Source organism: Homo sapiens, chromosome 1 (genome assembly GCF_000001405.40).
Source record: "Homo sapiens chromosome 1, GRCh38.p14 Primary Assembly".
In the NCBI taxonomy this organism is placed as follows: Eukaryota; Metazoa; Chordata; class Mammalia; order Primates; family Hominidae; genus Homo; species Homo sapiens.
In genome coordinates, this window is record NC_000001.11 from 242,209,539 (window position 1) to 242,229,923 (window position 20,385).

The 20,385-nt window shown below is 40.9% G+C and overlaps 1 protein-coding gene across 14 annotated transcripts in view, besides 4 other annotated features; it reads right to left on the reverse strand.

The window, feature by feature from the left end:
- Positions 1-20,385, reverse strand: part of PLD5 (phospholipase D family member 5) — a 447,561-nt gene that overhangs the window by 126,553 nt on the left and 300,623 nt on the right. For all 14 annotated transcript variants that reach the window (XM_011544115.3, XM_011544116.3, NM_001320272.2 and 11 more), the window contains one exon: positions 10,450-10,577. In XM_011544115.3, the coding sequence (XP_011542417.1) occupies positions 10,450-10,577 (128 nt within the window). The remainder of the gene's footprint in view (positions 1-10,449; positions 10,578-20,385) is intronic.
- Positions 365-898: an enhancer, noted in NCBI's record as "NANOG-H3K27ac-H3K4me1 hESC enhancer chr1:242373205-242373738 (GRCh37/hg19 assembly coordinates)". NCBI's record gives its function as "activates a minimal SCP1, AML or CMV promoter by ChIP-STARR-seq in naive H9 embryonic stem cells {active_cell/tissue: H9 hESC(naive)}" and the evidence as "EXISTENCE:reporter gene assay evidence [ECO:0000049][PMID:30033119]".
- Positions 899-1,432: an enhancer, noted in NCBI's record as "NANOG-H3K27ac-H3K4me1 hESC enhancer chr1:242373739-242374272 (GRCh37/hg19 assembly coordinates)". NCBI's record gives its function as "activates a minimal SCP1, AML or CMV promoter by ChIP-STARR-seq in naive and primed H9 embryonic stem cells {active_cell/tissue: H9 hESC(naive and primed)}" and the evidence as "EXISTENCE:reporter gene assay evidence [ECO:0000049][PMID:30033119]".
- Positions 1,433-1,967: an enhancer, noted in NCBI's record as "OCT4-NANOG-H3K27ac-H3K4me1 hESC enhancer chr1:242374273-242374807 (GRCh37/hg19 assembly coordinates)". NCBI's record gives its function as "activates a minimal SCP1, AML or CMV promoter by ChIP-STARR-seq in naive H9 embryonic stem cells {active_cell/tissue: H9 hESC(naive)}" and the evidence as "EXISTENCE:reporter gene assay evidence [ECO:0000049][PMID:30033119]".
- Positions 15,584-15,663: an enhancer, noted in NCBI's record as "active region_2830". NCBI's record gives its function as "activates an Ori minimal core promoter by ATAC-STARR-seq in GM12878 lymphoblastoid cells {active_cell/tissue: GM12878}" and the evidence as "EXISTENCE:reporter gene assay evidence [ECO:0000049][PMID:35858748]".

Here is a 20,385-nt window from a genome sequence, read left to right on the forward strand (position 1 = left end):
GGTGATCTGTGATCAGTTATCTTTGATGTTACTATGGCAACAGCACAACCTGCACCCGTCTAAGTTGGAGAACTTAATCCATAAATGTTGCATGTGTTCTGACTGCTCTGTAGACCAGCTGTTCCCCTGTCTCTCTCTCCTTGGGCCGCCTATTTCCTAAGACAACAACATTGAAATCAGGACAGTTGATAAACCTACCATTGGTCTCTAAGTTTCAAGTTAAAGGAAGAGTGGTACATCTCTCAGTTTTGTGGGTTGTTTGTTGTTCATCTTTGAGATGGAGTCTCACTCTGTCGCCCAGGCTGGACTGCAGTGGTGCAATCTTGGCTCACTGCAACCTCTGCCTCCCAGGTTCAAGCAAGTCTCCTGCCTCAATCTCCTGAGTAGCTGGGATTACAGGCACCCAACACTACATCCAGCTAATTTTTGTATTTTTAGTAGAGATGGGGTTTTACCATGTTGGACAGGCTGGTCTTGAACTCCTGACCTCAGGTGATCTGCCCGCCTCGGCCTCCCAAAGTCCTGGGATTACTGGCATGAGCTACCATGCCCCACTGCATCTCTCAGTTTAAATCAAAAGCTCTTAATGATGAACCTCAGTGAGAAAGGCATGTAGAAAGCCAAGATAAGCCAAACAGTTTGCCAAGTTGTGAATACAAAGGAAAAGTTCTTGAAGAAAATTAAAAGTGCCACTCCAGTGAATACACAAATGTTAAGAAAGCAAAACAGCCTTCTTGCTGACATGAGAAAGTTTGAGCGGTCTAGATAGATCTAACCACTGTCAGGCCTCTGAGCCCAAGCCAAGCCATCGCATCCCCTGTGACTTGCAGGTATACGCCCAGATGGCCTGAAGTAACTGAAGAATCACAAAAGAAGTGAAAATGTCCTGCCCCGCCTTAACTGATGACATTCCACCACAAAGGAAGTGTCAATGGCTGGTCCTTGCCTTAACTGATGACATTCCACCGCAAAAGAAGTGAAAATGGCCGGTCCTTGCCTTAACTGATGACATTACACCACAAAAGAAGTGAAAATGGCCGGTCCTTGCCTTAAGTGATGGCATTACCTTGTGAAAGTCCTTTTCCTGGCTCATTCTGGCTCAAAATCACCCCCACTGAGCACCTTGTGACCCCCACTCCTGCCCGCCAGGGAACAATCCCCCTTTGACTGTAATTTTCCTTTACCTACCCAAATCTTATAAAATGGCCCCACCCCTATCTCCCTTTGCTGACTCTCTTTTTGGACTCAGCCTGCCTGCATCCAGGTGATTAAAAGCTTTTATTGCTCACACAAAGCCTGTTTGGTGGTCTTTTCATACGGATGTGCGTGAAAACCACAATATTCCTGTAAGCCAAAGTCTAACTCAGAGCGAGGCCCTTACCCTCTTATACTCTGTGAAGGCTGAGAGAGGTGAAAAAGTTGCAAAAGAGACATTGGAAGCTAGCTGAGGTTGGTTCATGAAGTTTAAGGTACGAAACCGTTCTGTAACATAGAAGTGCCAGGTGAAGCAGAAAGTGATGATAGAGAAGCTGCAGTAGTTATCCAGGAGACCTAGCTGGGATCATCGATGAAGCTGGATACACTAAACAACAGATTTTCAATGTAGACAAAACAACCTTCTATTAGAAGAAGATGCCATCTAGGACTTTTGTGGGAGTTCAGTCAGGCTCGTGGGAAAAATTTTAAGATGAAGTTATAGGATATACACACAAACCTTCTTGGAAGGCCGGAAGGTTTTGCAAAAGTTTCAGGATAGGGTTATGGCTAAAAGCAGCCTAATCCTTACCTTGAGTTAGTAGCTTGGGACGCAGATACAAAGGAATGTAAAGTATTTTATCTAAATAGCTTGTTTACTCATGTGGTCCTAAGACCAACCTTTGATCATTTGTGGGCAGGATGGCCCTCTCCAGGGTGGGGGCAGCCAGGTTAATTACCCACAGTGGTTGACTCAAAGCCTTTGTCAATTAAATCTGTACTAACTAAATACAAGCATTGCCAGCTTGGAGGAGCTGCAAAACTCTCTTCGGCTGCTGGTGCCGGCCGCCCCCTGGCCTGCTCTTTCACTGAGTATCAGTGTCTGAGTACCTGTCTCATCCGTCATGCAGCTGAGGTCTGTAGGACAGACCCCCACAAGTGGCGCCCTGCATGAGGAACGCTACAAAAGGATCACGATGGACCCCCCGAAAATGAAGGTGAAAAAGGAACTGCACAGTCAGTAAGTCATTGGTGCCTGCTCAGGATTTCCAAGTTCACAGGGGATTATTCAGGCTAGGGTTTCATCACAGGACAACAGTTATCAGCTTAACAGAAACAGTATATAGAAGTATTGAAACAGCTGCTTAAAGCTAGTGGAGCCTATGTTTGGCAGGCTCAATTAAGGGACCTAATGCAAACTGTTGTATCCCAAAACCCATGGTTCCCTGAAGAAGGCATGCTAGACGTAAAGCTCTGGAACAAGTGGGGAGAAATCTTAAACATTGCATGCAAGGGCAAGGTCCCAGTATCATCTTTAATGCTATGGGCCTTAGTTAGGGCAGCCCTGGCTCCATTATACACAGAAGAGCCTAAAAAGGAGAAGGAGGAAGAACCATCACCTGCTTTACCACCTCCTCTTCCCTCAGCCCCGATATCACCAGGCCAAAATAAAAAAGGGGAAACGGAGGTTTTGCCTAAGCCCCCTCCTCCAGTAGATAGGAAAAAGGACAGGGGATATGCTACAGCGAAGAGACCCTGTCTTAAGCAAGCAGCATTAAAAGGGGAGCTCTTTGCCTGCCCAGTAATGCAAGATCAACAAGGCAATCAGATGTATAAACCCATTTCTTTTAACGCTTATTTAAAAATACGAAAAAACATTAAAGACCAGAGCTGCGCGACCATGCGAGCGGTGGGCAGAAGGAAAGGCTCAGCAGCAGGGAGGCTTGCAGACCTGGAGCCAACAGATGCTCCCAGGAACTCGACCTGCATAGTAGCAACGCAATGAGGAGCCAGGCCCAGCATGCAGAAGCTAGCCTGCTGGGGATGGGCAGGAGGCACATGCAGGAAGGTTTGTGCAGCAGGCAGCAGCCGCCAGGCAGCGGGGTGGAGGAAGGAGCAGTACAGAAAGAAGCAGCACAGACAAAGCACAGCGCCTAAGCAGGTGCAAAGTGGCTGCCGCCCTGGGGCCTGCCTGCTCAGCTCTCCAGCTCTCCGGCCTGTGGCAAAATTTTGTGTGCTCCTTATGTACAAGCGACATCCCAGATTGTAATTCTATGCTAAGATTTGAGTAAAATTTAAAAATTTAAAAAACCTCTTTCTGATAATGGCCACCGTTATCTCTCTCCTACCCCTGACGTGGCTCTTTCAAGATCTGATTTGGGTAGAACAGTTGCCTTTGAAGGGAGAGAAATTACAGAAAGCCCATGAATTAGATAAAGAGCAATTAAAAGCTGGACATGTAGAACCATCAAATAGTCCTTGGAATTCGCCCATTTTTGTCATTCCCAAAAAGTCTGGTAAATGGAGACTTTTGCATGACTTACATGCTATTAATGCCAATTTGCAACCTATGAAACCCCTTCAGCAGGGGCTCCCTTCCCCCGTGGTGATTCCTCACAATTGGCCTATAATTGTTATTGACTTAAAAGACTGTTTTTATATGATTCCCCTAGCAGAACAGGACAGAAAAAAATTTGCGTTTACAATAATGAAAGGCCAGCTTGTCGATTTCATTGGAAAGTGCTTCCTCAAGGAATGCTAAACAGTCCTACCATGTGTCAGTATCATGTAAATCAAGCTTTGCTCCCCAGTAGAAAAGAATTTCCTGATTGTAAGGTTATTCATTTTATGGATGATATTTTACTAGCAGCCCCAACAGAACTAATGCTTTTAAATCGACATACCTCTGTCATAAAGAATACAGCTAAAAGGTTTAATTATTGCACCTGAAAAAGCACAAATGTCCTCTCTTTGGAAATATCTTGGGTACATACTAACGTCCCGGTCAGTAAGACCTCAAAAGGTTAAATACTAGCAACTTACACACTTTAAATATTATCAGAAATTACCAGGCATATCAACTGGCTCTGCCCCACTTTAGGCATTCCGACTTATAAGCTGCAAAACCTGTTGTCTATCTTAAAGGGCAATACAGTCCTGGATTCTCCCAGAGAGTTAACCCCCGCAGCAAAAAGGGAAATTGAGAAAATAGAACAAGCCACCTCTCAGAGGCAACTAGATTGCACAGACACCCATTATTCCATCCAGTTATTTATTTTTCCCACCAAACACTCCCCTGGAGGGTTAGTAGGACAGATGACCCCCCAGCACTGTGCTTTCTAGAATGGGTTTTTTTTTTTTGCTCACATACCGGGACTAAAACACTCTCTCCCTATATCCAGTTACTTAGTAAAGTCATCCATTCAGGTTGCAGACAATGTTGTCAGTTGCTAGGTTATGATCCTGATATTTTCAGGATTCCTTTAAGTAAAAAGCAATTCAAAGCAGTATTGCCAGCATCTATTGATCTGCAAATAGCTCTCTCTGATTATACAGGACAAATAGCGCATGTCCTTCCTGCTGATAAACTCCTTCATTTCTTATCTCGTACTCCTGGGATCTTGCCTACAAAAATAGTTCACTCTCCCATACCTAATGCTTTAACACTGTTTACTGATGGTTCAGGTAAATTTGGAAAAGCAGCAGTTTGGTGGAGACCACATAATTCCATCACTCTATCTGGGCTTACTAGCACTCAGAGAACTGAGAATGGGGCACTGATACTGGCTGTGGAGAATTTTTCCACTTAGCCCATCAATATAGTTAGTGATTCTGCTTACTCTGTTGATTTATTTCAGAACCTTGAGAGAGCCCTAATTAAGTCCACTCTGGAGCCCACCCTGTGTGCTCTTTTTCTTCAACTTCAGCAATTGCTAGATCAACGTACACATCCTGTTTTTATTACACACAGTCAAGCCCACAGCTCACTGCCTGGCCCATTGGCTTATGGCAATAATCAAGCAGACCTTCAGGTTATGATATCACTGCTTGACTAAGCCATGCAATTGCATCAATTTTTCCACCAACACTGGAGAAACTTATCTAAACAATTTCAACTTACCCAGAGACTGGCTAAACAAATTATCCTACAATGCCCAGATTGCCAGCTCACAGGCACGTCCCCTCCTTCAACAGGTGTTAACCCTAGAGGATTAGAACCTAATTAGTTATGGCAAACAGATGTTACATCCCTGAATTTGGAAAACTAAGATGTGTACATTTAGCCATTGATACCAACACTCATCTAATTAGTGCACATGCTCTTCCTTGAGAGTCCACTCGATATGTCATTAAACACCTTTTTTTTTTTTTTTTTTTTTTTGAGATGGAGTCTTGCTCTGTTGCCCGGGCTGGAGTGCAGTGGCGAGACCCTGGCTCACCACAAGCTCTGCCTCCCGGGTTCACGCCATTCTCCTGACTCAGCCTCCAGAGTAGCTGGGACTACTTGTGCCTGCCACCGTGCCTGGCCAATTTTTTTTTTTTTTTTTTGTATTTTTAGTAGAGACGGGGTTTCACCGTGTTAACCAGAATGGTCTTGATCTCCTGACCTTGTGATCTGCCCACCTCAGCCTCCCAAAGTGCTGGGATTACAGGTGTGAGCCACCGTGCCCAGCCTATACATCTTCTTTTAACTTTTGCATTTATATGATGGCCCACAAAAATTAAAACTGATAATGGTTCAGCTTATGCCAATTCACAATTCCAACAATTTTGTCACATGTGGAATATCCAACATTCCACAGGCATCCCGTATAACCCCCAAGGACAAGCCATAGTAAAACATGCCCGTTCAACTCTTAAAAATATGCTCAAAAAACAAAAAGGGGGGAATATGGGTAAAGACCCGGCAACACTATTGGCACAAACCTTATTTACCCTTAATTTTTAAAATTTAGATGACACATTTCGATCAGCTGTAGATATGCACTTTGCTAAAACCTCTCAAGACATAAAACCTGCAGTTTTATGGAAAGATGTGAACAGTAATGTATGGTGTGGTCCAAATGAATTATTAACATGGGGAAGAAGGTATGCTTCCACACCCCCTCGGGTCCTCTTTGGATTCTAGCACAACGCATCAAACCATAGCATGGCATGGCTAGGACCTAACCCGGTACCAGAAATGAAGAAAATAACCCTACAGGACCCACAGCCCCAGACAATGCACCTTCCTTGGACAACACAGGCCCTGGACAGAATGCTGAAGAAGACAAGTCAGAAGACTGAGCGAATCCTGCTCTGGACACAGACACCATTCACTCCAGATAATTGTTCCTTACTATGTTTTATTAATCTTTTTAAATTCTCTCACTTTACCTGCTACCTGTACCTGCTACACTCTATTAAGCTTATCTTCTAAATCTGCCTTTTTTCAGATTTATCTGAAAATCTGCCCTGTTATCTGGGCAGACACTCCCTTCCCCGCTTCTAACAACATGACTGCTTGGCTGGAAGGGGTTAACATACCCCCAGCGGGGTTCCTTAGTAACAGCACACATCAAACTGAAGTGCCAAGTAATGCTGCAGGTCACTCCTTGATTGGAAAAGAATGTTGCTAATTATACTCATGATTGTCTTATGTTATTTGCTAATTCTAGGATGCAAAGTCAGAATAACAGCAATGACCGCCTTGCCCGACAGACCTGTTGCTGCACACAGCTGTATGCTTCAGTCAACAGAACCCAATGCAAAAAACAGAAAAGGGGGAGATGTGGGAGTTCAGTCAGGCTGGTGGGAAAAATTTTAAGATGAAGTTATAGAATAGAGACACAAACCTTGGAAGGCTGGAAGGTTTTGCAAAAGTTTCAGGATAGGGTTATGGCTAAAAGCAGCCTAATCCTTAACTTGAGTTAATAGCTTGGGGCACAGATACAAAGGAATGTAGATTATTTTATCTAAATGGCTTGTTTACTCATGTGGTCCTAAGACCAACCTTTGATCAACCTCAGGTGCATAATTGCTCTCTACTTGGGAAATCAGCAATGTCAATTACCCTCTAGTGTTGTTTACTCAAGACCTTTGTCATTTAATCTATACTGAATAAATGCAAGCTTCGCTGACTGTTCAGGGCCACGACTCTTTACAGCACCTTCTTTACAGCACCTTCCTCGGTGTCTGTGAGTGGCCTGGACCCTCAGCCAAACTGACAGGCAAAATATCTATGTCAGCGTATGTCTCTCATCCATCACTGAGTTAGGGTCTGTGGGTCAGACCCCCACACACTTTCATAGCTAGAAAGGAGATAATTCAATGCTTAGCTTCAAAGTTTCATAGGACATGCTGACTCTGTTAGGTGCTGATGAGGCTGGTGATTTTAAGTTGAAGCCAATACACATCTACCATCATAAAAATTGTGGGACCCTTAAGAATTATGCTAAATCAACTCTGCCTGTGCTCTATAAATGGAACAAAGCTGGGATGATAGTACTGCTGAATACAGCATGGCTTACTGAATATTTTAAGCCTGCTGTTGAGACCTACTGCTCAGAAAGAAAGATTCCTTTCAAAATATTACTGCTCATTGACAATGTACCTGGTCACCCAATAGCTCTGACGAAGATGGGCAAGGAGATGAATGTTGTCTACATGTCTGATAACACAACATTCATTCTGCAGCCCAGGGATCAAGGAGTAATTTCTACTTTCAAGTCTTTTGGAAGGCTATATAGCTACCATAGACAGTTATTCCTCTGATAGATCTGGGCAAATTAAATTGAAAATCTTCTGGGAAGGCTTCACCATTCTAGGTACCATTAAGAACATTTGTTGGCCAGGCACGGTGGCTCACACTTGTAATCCCAGCACTTTGGGAGGCCGAAGTGGGTGAATCACCAAAAGTCAGGAGTTTGAGACCAGCCTGGACAACATGGTGAAACCCCATCTCTACTAAAAAATACAAAAATTAGCTGGGCGTGGTGGTACATGCCTGTAATCCCAGCTACTTGGGAGGCTGAGGCAGGAGAATCACTTGAACCTGGGAGGTGGAGGTTGCAGTGAGCTGCCACTGCACTCTAGCCTGGGCGACAAGAGCAGAACTCCAAAACTCCATCTCAAAAAAAGAACATTTGGGATTTACGGGAGAAGGTCAACATATCAACATTAACGGGAGTTTGGAAGGAGTAGATTCTAACCCTCATGGATGACTCTGAGGGGTTTAAGACTTCAGTGCAGGAAGTCACTGCAGATGTGATGGAAATAACAAGAGAACTAGAATTAGAAGGGGAGCCTAAAGATGTGGCTGAATTGCTGCAATCTCAGGATAAAACTTGAATGTATGAGGAGTTGCTTCTTATGAATGAGCAAGGGAAAGTGGTTGAGATGAAATCTATTCCTAGTGAATATGCTGTGAACATTGTTGAAATAAAAAGGATTTAGAATATTACATAAACTTAGTTGATAAAGCAGTGGAAGGGATTGAGAGGACTGACTCCAATTTTGAAAGAAGTTTTATTGTGGATAAAATGCTTTTAAACAGCACCACATGCTACAGAGACATCTTTCATGAAAGGAAGTCAATTGATGTGGCCAACTCCATTGCTGTCTTATTTTAAGAGATTGCTATAGCCACCCTAGCCTTTAGCAATCACCACCCTGATCAGTAAGCAGCCATCAACATTGAGGCAAAACCCTCCACCAGCAAAAATCTTACATCTGCATCTGAAGGCTCAGATGATTGTTATTTTCTAGCAATAAAGTATTCTTAAATTAAGGTATGCACATTTGTTTTTACATAGTGCTACTGCACACTTAGACTACAGTATAGTGTAAAGGTAACTTTTATATGCACTGGGAATCCAAAAAAATTGTGTGACTTGCTTTATTGCAGTGGTCTGGAACTAAAGATGAAATATCTTTGCTGTATGTCTATAGAAGCAAACACATACTGACTTCCTAGTTTTCCTAGTTCAATCCAGAGATTAGTGAGTTTGCAGAGCTCAAGTATTGAGCAAGAGTAGTTGGCATCCTATGACCACCATATCATTATGGATTTGCAATTGGAAAGATTCCAGTGAGTAAAAAGTTTCTTGATTAATTGCATTGTTAGATTTTGTTAAAGAAAAGGGTGACAGAGAAAATCTGTAACTTAGCACCCCAGAAAGATAAAGAAAATAATTTTTTCCTAAATGTATTTATTTTAAAAGATTAGTGAAATAAGAGTGAGGTGTTTAGAGCTATATGGCTTGGGTTTGAGTTCCAGCTTTGCCACTTCCTGAAAAGTGTCCTTGGGTAAGTTACTTACCTATGTCTCAGCTTCTTCCTTTGCAAGATAAAATTATAAGAGGAGTATTTCCAAGAAAGAATTACTGTGAAAATGGAATGAGGTTATACTCTTTACATGCGTAGAAAAATGCCCAGCATAGAGAAAGCCTCAATTCATTGAAACTGTTATTGTTGTTAATTATTTCTTCCACTTACCATAAATGTAAGGTAATGATTGATAACAATAATCATTGATTTCACTGGACAACTTCACAAACTATAAAGCTGATAACATAGGTTTAACTCTTGGAAAATGTATAATTCTTCTTGTAATTGTTAGCCTCAACTTTGGTAAATTAAAATCTGTTCTAATGCATAGGTCCTGCTAAGCAATGCTTTATGTCACACTGAGGTAGACCAAGAAAAATTCCACATAGTTGAGCATAATAGAAAGGAACACTAATTTAAGATAGATGATTAAGTATAATAGCGTGATCCCAAATTTTGAGAGCTGTGGGGAAATAATGGGCCGGGGAGGAGACAATATCTGTGTGTAGGTGTGGAGAGGAAGAGGAGGGGAGTATGCTGGAGTGTTGATTTAAAAAGATGTTCTGAGAAGGTTGGCTAGTCTTCCTAAGCATCCAATGACTAGGAACCTCCTGTCGCTGGATGACTAATGGAAAGATGGTGATTTTGTAATCCTCTGTGGATTGCCTCTGACACAAATAAATGCATAAAAATCCTAAGTGTGTGAAAATGTATTTTCAACATATTTGAAGTTAATCATTTGTTAAGAGAAAGATAACATCTTCATCTTGAGATTAAAGAAATAACCCAAATGATTACTATCCTAAGACATATTACTCTCTACTGAATTTTTGTGTTTCCCCCTGTCTCATAGATGATGTAATATCATCCTGAAAATATAGGTCTGGGTGATGTCAATTACATAGCAACCTGCTCTCAGGAATCTGGGAGCAGCCTATGAATTACAAAAGCATTGAAGCAATAACAGTTTTTACTTTTTTTTGTAAGATGATCCTGACAAGCAAAGGTTTATCCTTTCACATAAAAGGAAGATGAGCCTCTTAAAACTACAGTTAAGAATAATAAATGCTGTAGGTTTTAGGATCCTTATCTGCAGTAGCGTGCTTTATGAAGGTGGTCGCTTTGAGGGTGACAGAACATTGAGTTTACATAACGTAGAAAGCTTACCTGTCCCAGGGATTGCCAGTCCAAACCGGCACTGCCGATATACACGTGCTGTTTGTCCACGATCCAGAAGGAGGACTGCAGCCGGCCCTTGTTGTAAGCGGTCATGTTCATGTACGTCACCTCGGCTCCTAGGAGTTCAAGGACAGTCTGGTCAGCCTCTGCGTCAAGGCCCTGCCTGGGCTGTCAGTCACCTACCAGTGGAAATATTCATGGTTCACCATTTGTCCCAATTGACATTTAGGAAAGCTAAATATTTATGTTAGTTTGGTGGAGAGAAGGTCCCCAAGGTATTATTTTGTTCCCTAAAACAAAGAAAACTAAAAGAAAAGAAAAGAAAAGAAAAGAAAAAGCCAGGGGAAATGCCTTTTCCTATGCATATGGCAGAGGAGGTTTTGCATATAGTGACAAGACCACGGCTTCTCAACTCAGATCTGTACTGAAATCCCGGCTGCACCACTTACCATCTGGACGGTGAGATAGGTACACCATATGCAGTTTTCTTTTCTGAGTAATTTTAATACAGTTTGCAATCAATATAAGGGTCAGTCTTGTTCAGTATCACAGCTCTCCTCAATAAGACGTTGGCCTCATTATGCTTTCTATACATTTTTCATCCTGTGAACCTTTCACTTGCTTTTACTTCTTCATTCCTTCCCTTTATTATTTAATCTGGGTTTGGTCTCTTCTTCATCTTTATCTGATAGTATTTTTTTTAATTTATATTTTATTTTATTTTATTTTATTTTATTTTATTTTATTTTATTTTTGAGACAGAGTCTCACTCTGTTGTCCAGGCTAGAGTACAGTGGTGTAATCTCAGCTCACAGCAACCTCCACCTCCCAGGTTTAAGTGATTCCCTTGCCTCAGCCTCCTGAGTAGCTGGGATTACAGGCATGTGCCACTATGCCCGGCTAATTTTTGTACTTTTAGTAGAGAGGGGTTTTTACTATGTTGGCCAGGCTGGTCTCGAATTCCTGACCTCAAGTGATCCACTCGCCTCGGCCTTCCAAAGTGCTGAGCTTACAGGTATCTGACAGTTCTTAATTTAAGCAATGATTATTCAAGCTTTACTGAAATGCAACCTTGAATGGTTAACTAAATCACTCAGACTATTGTTAATGCCAAAAATATATTTGAAGAGCTGAATGTGACCAATTGTTTTAGGCTTCATGTGGTAGGATCCAGTGTCAAGCCTTTATGCATTACTGCTTCAAATGCATTTACAAACCTCTCAAAAGGAGCATACAGTCCATTCAATGCAAGGGTATTTAAATAAATTTCTGCTAAAGGTCTATTCCCTTTAAAATAACAGACCTATATGCATATATTTAATGAACTAAGCTATTGTGTCTTCAGGTATTTATTATTAACGAAGACGATGTATTCCAGGGGCACACTTCATTGTCAGAGTCTTCATTACCACAGGCACACATAAGACTGTATGCAGAAGGATACATTTCAGCATATCAGAAAGGAAGGAGAGTAATTTACACTATGAACTTAATGCTTAACTCTTAGGAAAATGTAAACAATGCATCTAGCTTCCTTGTGGCAGGAGGATGAAAAGAGATGTTATGAGGTTGGGAGAGAATCTCTGAGGGGAAGACAGCACCCAGGCAGATTTTCTCTGAGGGTAGAGCAGTTTCTTTGTCTTCCAAGTGGCGGGCACATGTTTCTCTGCCTCCAGCCATCCTGGAATAGTAACATCCAAAAAAGAGTTGCAGATCCCAGAGGAGGAACTTGGGTATGGCAGAATCTGAATATCTAAAATGGGTAGTTACCCTGGCAGGTATGGAGAGACCCAAATCTGCATGGAGGTGTGGCCGGCCCCACAGACACAGCAGACAGTGTTCCTCAGTAGATAAACAGAGCATTTGTCCTTAGATACGGGATTAGTTCCCTAGGTCTGCTATAACAAAGTACCCTAATCTGGATGACTTAAAACAGCAGAAACTTATCCTCCGTTCTGGAGGTTAGAAGTCCAAAACCAAGGTGTCAGCAGGGCCAAACTTCCTCTGGGACATGCAGGGAAGCATCCTTCCTTGCCTCTTCTGGTGGTGCCCATTCATCTCTGAGGTTTCTCGGCTTGTAACTGCAGCACTCTCATCTCTGCCTCTGTTGTCCCATGGCATCTTCTCCCTACACCTCTATTTTCTCTTCTTATCAGGACACTACTCAAGTTGGATGAAGGTCCCGCCCCCCACTACAGTATGATCTTAACTAATTACATCTGTAAAATCCCCATTTTCAAGTAAGGTCACAGTCTGCAGTTCTGGGGATTACATCTTCTACATATCTTTCTGGGGGATGCAATTCAACCCATAACAGAGACCCAGGTCACTTTACCTGGCCATGCTTTCCAATAGCAATCAACTGGTCAGCACTGAGGGAAGCACCTTCTCTTGTCTCTGGGAGGAACAGAATGAAGGTGACCGTGGTGCTGGCCTCAGATTCCACGTCAGCATGCACCTTGTCAAGCCTTCCCCTGCTCTCTTATTCTGCCTAGAAACTCCTCGAACCCTCTGTGACACTGACTGGCCCTCATCTCCTGGCGTGGGACACTGTGTCTGAAACTCGGCCCCGTGGCCAGTTGCCATTTGCATCAGACTGTTTATGAGTTCTTGGAGTCCTCATCTGTTGTCACACAGGTCCCCTGCAGCCCCAGCCCCAAGGCAGCACTGAGTCAATCTGAAGAGTCCACTGGGGACGACCTCTTTGTACCTCTCCATCCCACACCCCATCTACACTGCTCTAAAAGTACCATGTTATTTTGCAATTTAGCTTAGAAAGTTTGACTTCAGAGATGATGGTCGTGTGTAACCCTCCAGCCAGAGCCTCTGCAGCTACTTAATGATGCCTAAAATTATTTTACAAAGGAAAAGTATCATTCCTTTGACAAAGCTTTACTGAATATCTAATATATACCAGATGCTGTGCTATGTAAAATTAGGGATAAAAGACCTCAAGTGACTGATTCAAATTCAGGCATACTAAAATACTGTCTTAGTCCATTTGGGCTGCTATCACAAAACACCATACACAACAGAAATGTATCCCTCAGAGTTCTGGAGGCTGTGAAGTCCAAGATCAAGGCATTGGCAGATTCGGTGTCTAGTGAAGGTCGACTTTCTGGTTCACAGAGGGTGCCTCCTCACTGTGTCCTCATGTGGTGGAAAACATGAGGATCTCTCTCTGACTTCTTCTTCTAAGGGGACTAATCCCATTCATGAGGGTTTTGCTGCTTTCCTAACCCAGTCACTGCCAAATCTCTCACCTCCTAATACCATCACCCTGGGGGTTAGGATTTCAACACATAAATTTGGGGGTACACAAACATTTGGAGCACAGTAGTGTCATCTTTAAAATGATCAGGATCTGCTCCAGTCCTGCTGCTCAGACAGAAGGGGCACCAAAGAGCTGAGAGATCAGAAAGTGGAGTCCTTACTGCTGTATCAGGGAACCCCAAGTGAAGGCCGGAGAGCAGGAAAGATAGTAAATGGCTTCACAGTCTGCCCAGGGCCCCAGCAGAGCTGTGTGTAGAGATCAAGCAATATGTAATGCTAGTAATTCCCATTTATTGAATACCTGTGTGCCCAGTGCCAAGATAGCTATGTTACAACAGTCTTACATGGCATGCTTCATTTTCTCTATTTTAGGACACGATAAATTCCTGTATGTGGTATAAGAAAATCCACTGAAAATATTTATGATACATCTGAAAAAATATATATTTTTGTATATGGTTCATGGACTATCACTTCCCCATTGCAAATTACCTGTTTTTCTATCTAAATATTGATGCTCCATCTATCTCTGAAGACATATGCTTTTATCTTTATTAATAGCTGTAGATATATATAAATAGAGAGAGAGAGAGAGAGAGAGAGAGAGAGAGTCATGTCTAACATGTCCCTCAGTTTATTCAATATTTTACTTAAGAGAATTTATATTTATGTGCACTTTTAGAATATATCTGTTTGTTGGTTATAGAAATAATTTTCATCCTATTGGGTCTTTATGTAATACGTATTAGGAAGCGATGGTTAAAATATAATGCTGTCTGACTACAAAACATATTTAATGATTAAAAAGTATATAATATGTCACTTACTGCATTTATGTGCATAACCTAAATTTGAGTTTATTTCATATTGTTGTGTTAGAATTGCAATTAGCAAAGACATGCAATACAGGCCTCAACATTTAGATAAAAGGGCAGAGTAATTTTTCATGCATTACACTTATGCAAATACAGACAATATATAATAAATAAATCAAATTCTTTCCATTTACATTAAAAATTTGACAAATTTTTATAGAAGAGATGACTTTAATTTCTACTTCTAAAATAATTTTAGGCCTTTTTTTTACAATGTCACATATTTTTTAAAAATATATAGAATGCCACAATTTTATGAGCACTAACAGAAACACTTCAGATTTTTTTTCTATAGTTATTTTTATGACCCAGAAAACAGGGATCCTATATATTAAAGAGTTATTATGTTAAAATGACAGCAAGAGCTATGCATAAGAAACATGGAGTAATTTATGAGAGCCGCTCGTCAATATTCACGGGGGTTATTCAAGCTTAGTATCCACATGCAAAAGAATGCTGAAAACCAGCCCCTTTGTCCTGTTACTGGTTTCCTTTTCTCCATGGGAATCAGCAGCTCACAGGAAGCCTTTTCTAAAATTCTGTGCTAGACTATTCAGAGCCAACAAAGGCTTCACATTACCAAATAGTTAATATGTTCAAAACTAATATGTAGGTTAGTGACAGTTTTTAAATCCAATTACCATTAGAAAACCACAGGTTTTAAGAAAATTATTTTCCATTTATATTAAGGTACAATTTACTTGTAGTAAAATTCACCCTTTTGAGCATATAAGGGTTTTGAAAGAGAGTCGTGTGACCATCACCGCAATCAGAATGCAAAACAGTGTCATCGTCCCCAGGCTTCTTTTGCAGTATCTTCCTCTTCAAACCCCAGCCCTTGGCAACTACGCAGCAGGATTTTTTGCGTGTGTGCCTATAGTTTTCCTTTTGTAAGAATGTCATACAAATTGAGTCATAGAGTATGCAGCCCTCTGAATCCTGCCTCTCACTTAGCATAATGCACGTGAGACCCATTCATGCTGTCATGTGGAACAGTGGTTTCTCTTTGCTGTTGAGTGATGTTCCATGGTATGGAATGCATCACAAATAGCGCATGTGAGACCCATTCATGCTATTGTGTAGAACAGTGGTTTGTTTCCCTTTGCTGCTCAGTGATATTTCATGGTATGGAATGCACCACACATAACGCATGTAAGACCCATGCATGCTGTCGTGTGGAACAGTGGTTTGTTTCTCTTTGCTGTTGAGTGATATTTCATGGTATGGAATGCACCACACATAACGCACGTGAGACCCATTCATGCTGTTATGTGGAACAGTGGTTTCCCTTTGCTGTTGAGTGATATTTCATGGTATGGAATGCACCACACATAACGCATGTGAGACCCATTCATGCTGTCATGTGGAACAGTGGTTTCTCTTTGCTGTTGAGTGATATTTCATGGTATGGAATGCACCACACATAACGCATGTGAGACCCATTCATGCTGTCATGTGGAACAGTGGTTTCTCCTTGCTGTTGAGTGATATTTCATGGTATGGAATGCACCACACATAACGCACGTGAGACACATTCGTGCTGTAGTGTGGAACAGTGGTTTGTTTCTCTTTGCTGTTAAGTGATATTTCATTGTATGGAAGGCACCACAGTTTGCTTATCCATTCTCCAGTTGAGAAACATTTGGGTAGTTTCCACTTACTGGTGATGACAAATAAAGCTGCCGCAAACACTCATGCATACATTTTTGCAAGAATGTAGTTTTCATTTCACTTGGGTAAATACCTAGGAGTGAGACTGCTGAGTCATATGGTAAATATATGTTTAACTTTATAAGAAACTGCCAAACTGTTTACCCAAAGCGTCTGTACCAGTTTGCATTCCCACCAGCAATATCTGTTAGTCTAAGTCATTCTGTATCCTTGCCAGAACCTGGTACTACATTTATATAAAGTTTTTCCTTTAAATATTATAGACTTCTGAGATCAGAAAATATCTTTAAATCTGGCTTCATTTAATTAAATATATTTTTAAGACAGCTTTGAAAGTATATTAAGTATGATTAACCATTTTTTGCTTTTATAGATTTCTTTTCTAACAGGAAAAAAAATATGTGTCAGTTTCTCTGTGTGCAGCCCCTGACCCATTGCCCAGAGATCTCCGGATGTCAACCGAGAGATGCATACATCACAATGTGACGCGTCAGGACCATGGCCTAGTGGCTGCGCACAGCTGCTGGTGATGAGTCCAGATCTCTGCAGATCCTCCTACTTTCGGCCCCGCAGTCTACTTGTTTAACTGATGATTCATAGGCATTATTAGTAACTCAAAATAATCTTTTTTGATGCCAAAACCAAAAAGTGATAAATCAAGAGTATATCCTTTCTATTGTTGCTTTATAAAATACTTTCATGCTATCCAGGCAGTCCTAATTAAATCTTAAACAACAAACAAGGCTAAGGTTCAGAACTAGAAATGTTAAGCTACAAATATGCTAACTGATGATGTGAAAATCAGGTCCCAGTTGGTCGTACTAATCAAGATAAAGTGATGCGGCTAACCTCCAGGTTTTACCCGCTTCTTGGGAAGTCAAATGTTAAAAATCAGGAAACTCCAAATTACTCATTATAACTCCTTTGAGCTTTAACAGAGACGCTTCATTGAAATTTAATAGAGAATGTCCCTGGTTTTGGAGGGGTTCTGTTTCTTTACTAAACTGTTCTTAGGATAGTAACCAAAATATCGTACTTTATTTTGTGCTTACGTATTTCAATGGAAATAATTCTGTGTTAAAATTTAAGAGAGAAAATGAAAATATTAACTAAAAGGTTATTAAAATTTTTTTAAAGAAAAAAGTATAATGCCATGATGAATTGAAAATTAATGTTACTACTTTGAAGAATCAAGTTGATTGTATGTACACACATTTTAAAAGGAGTATATTCTTGAGAGCCTTCCTCTACCAAGACTTTCTAGCATTAAACTTGTTTATCATAGATCTGTTCCAAATCCCATGTGGTAGAGTTAGTAACTATCTCATCTATAGATTATTCTTTTTGAGGACACTAATGTTTGCTTTATAGTCAGATTTCAGAGTCCCTCACCATTTTGATTTTTATTTTTTTTTAAGAGATGGTCTCCCTATATTGCTCAGGCTGGCCTTGAACTCCTGGGTTAAAGCGATCCTCCAGCCATAGCCTCATAAGTAGCTGGGACTATAGGCATAAGCACCACACCTGGCCTCAACACTGCTCTGTTTGTTTGTTTTGTTTTGGAGACAGAGTGTCTCGCTCTGTCACCCAGGCTGGGGTGCAGTGGTGCGATCTTGGCTCATTGCAACCTCTGCCTCATGAGTTCAAGCAATTCTCATGCCTCAGCCTCCCAAGTAGCTGGGACTACAGGCACACACCGCCACATCCTGCTAATTTTTATATTTTAGTAGAGATGGGGTTTCACTGTGTTGCTCAGGCTGGTCTCGAACTCCTGAGTTCAGGCAATCTGCCTGCCTCGGCCTCCCAAAGTGTTGGGATTACAGGCATAAGCCACCGTGCCCAGCCCTCTTCACTGTTCTTTATGTGTGGATGATATTACATGGGTAGGGCTAAATGTCACCACCAATTTCCTACAGTACAGATCTGTGGGGACCATCCTTTGATGTGCGTCTGTTACATGCTTTTTAGGACATGACTGTGTTTGTGATTCTACTCCTTTATGATCAACTTAAAAATTCCCAGACTCATATTTTGATTAGAAACAATTCACAGATAATATCAGATACTTGTTGAGTAGGAGTAGTTAATGCATCATCCCAGGATACCCATTCCCATGTAAAATTGCTAAAGAATTATTTATTATCACTTCCGTTCCGAATCTTCTCCAGAAGCTTATTGTTATCTCTAGGTTAAACACTAGTTTCTAGGTTAAAACTAGTTTCATAACTAGTGTTATCAAAATGGAATATTAGATTCTGAAGAGGTTTAACAATGGCGTGTTCACATTTACACATTACACTTGCACACGAGGAAGATGGGAGGAAATGAGCAACTTTAAGGAGACAACTAGTTGAAGAATTTAATTCCAGTGAAGATAAGGAAAGTTTAATTCTACCTACTCTTGAATTGATATAAACTAGATCTATCTTCCATATATCTAGCAGTTCTCTGTCTCCCTCGTAAAGAGGAAACAAAATCTTCACAGGGTATTTGTGAGTTGATGTTATGTGCAGCGTATACATGCATCATTTCTTCCCTGACGACACGTCCTTTTAATAGTACCCGAGGCACCCGCAGGACACAGAATGGGAAAGCCTAGGTCCCATGTGAAAACATGTAGTCTCTATTTGGTCACAGCTGATTGGACCAAATGTGGGCACTAACCTAAGCTGAGCCATCCAAATTTCTTCTTTTGGGAATTCAAAATTGAGCCACAAAGTAAGTTACTTAAAAGCAGCTGTGTTGGGAAGTCATACACATACAGAGGTTGGCATGACTGTCCAAGTCCACATAATAGAAAGATAAGAGAAGTCAAGCTTCAGAGAATGAGGGAGGGAGGGAAGGAGGGAGAGGGAGAGAGAGGAAGGTAGGGAGGGAGGGAAGGAAGGAGAGAGAGAGAGGAAGAGGAGAGGAAGAGGAAGAGGAGCACCAGGAGAGAGCAAACCATAGTGAAAAAGACACTGTCCTCGTCCTCGCAACAGAGAGAAATGATGAATGAGAAAATGGCGGGGGAGTCCACCACTGTCCCACTCAAACCAGTTTCATGACTTTCTGTGAGTTCCTCTAAATCTTTGGCATAAATTACTTGTCATTTAAGCTTGTTTCAGAAGGATTTTCCTTCTTTCCTAAGCTATTCTTACGGTATTAACCAGATAATGTTGTACTTTATTTTCTGCATACATAATTTTTGAAGTCCCTCAACTTTTATATGTGTGCTTTTAATATTAGACTAAAATTGTTTAGTTGTGGCCTAAAAACTCAAGCAATTTTTAGCAAAGAGCCTGTTGCACAGGTTGCATGAGTAAATGACTCAAAGGCTGAAGATTCAAAATAAACATCCTGTCAAAATACTCATCAAAATGGCACAAAAGAAAACATGCTAGTACACTGTGGTTAAAAAATGGAAAATAAAGTTCCACATTCCCCATGAATCCCCATGATGAAATCAAACAGAATTTATCTCCAAGTTCATTTCCAGTAAGCCTCGTTTTAAACGCATATTACCAGCAGCTTTAATATGTTTGATGATAAAACACGTATACCTTCAAGAGAATGTATGTAACTTATAAGTAGATTATAAAGCATAATAAAATGGATACTTGTGAATCTTCCACCCTAAAAACTAGAACCTCACCAAAATGTACTACTATTAAAGCTGTGTTTCTCCATACAGATACATATATGCATATCCTGTTGAAATTGAGTTGGATCTATAGATCAATTTGGGAAGAATTGACATATGTATGTGGCATATATATTCATTTATTTGTTGATCTTCTCTAAGCATTTTGTTATTGTTTGTATGACTTTTGACATTATCATGAATGGAACAGCTTTTTTATTTTTATTTTCATTTGTTTGCTGCGAGTGAAGAGAAATATAATTGACTTTTGTTTAGGAGTCTCATACACTGTAACTTTCCTAAGCCCGCTATTACTTCTTGTATTTGCTTTCTAGATTCCTTGGGATTCTTTTTTTCCTAGAATATCATTGCCTCTACAAACTGAAGCAATTTTATTTCTTCTATTCCAAAATGTATTTGTTTTCCTTGCCCTATGTCACTGGTAAGACCTCTAAAAAAATATTGATAAAAAAAAAAAAAAGC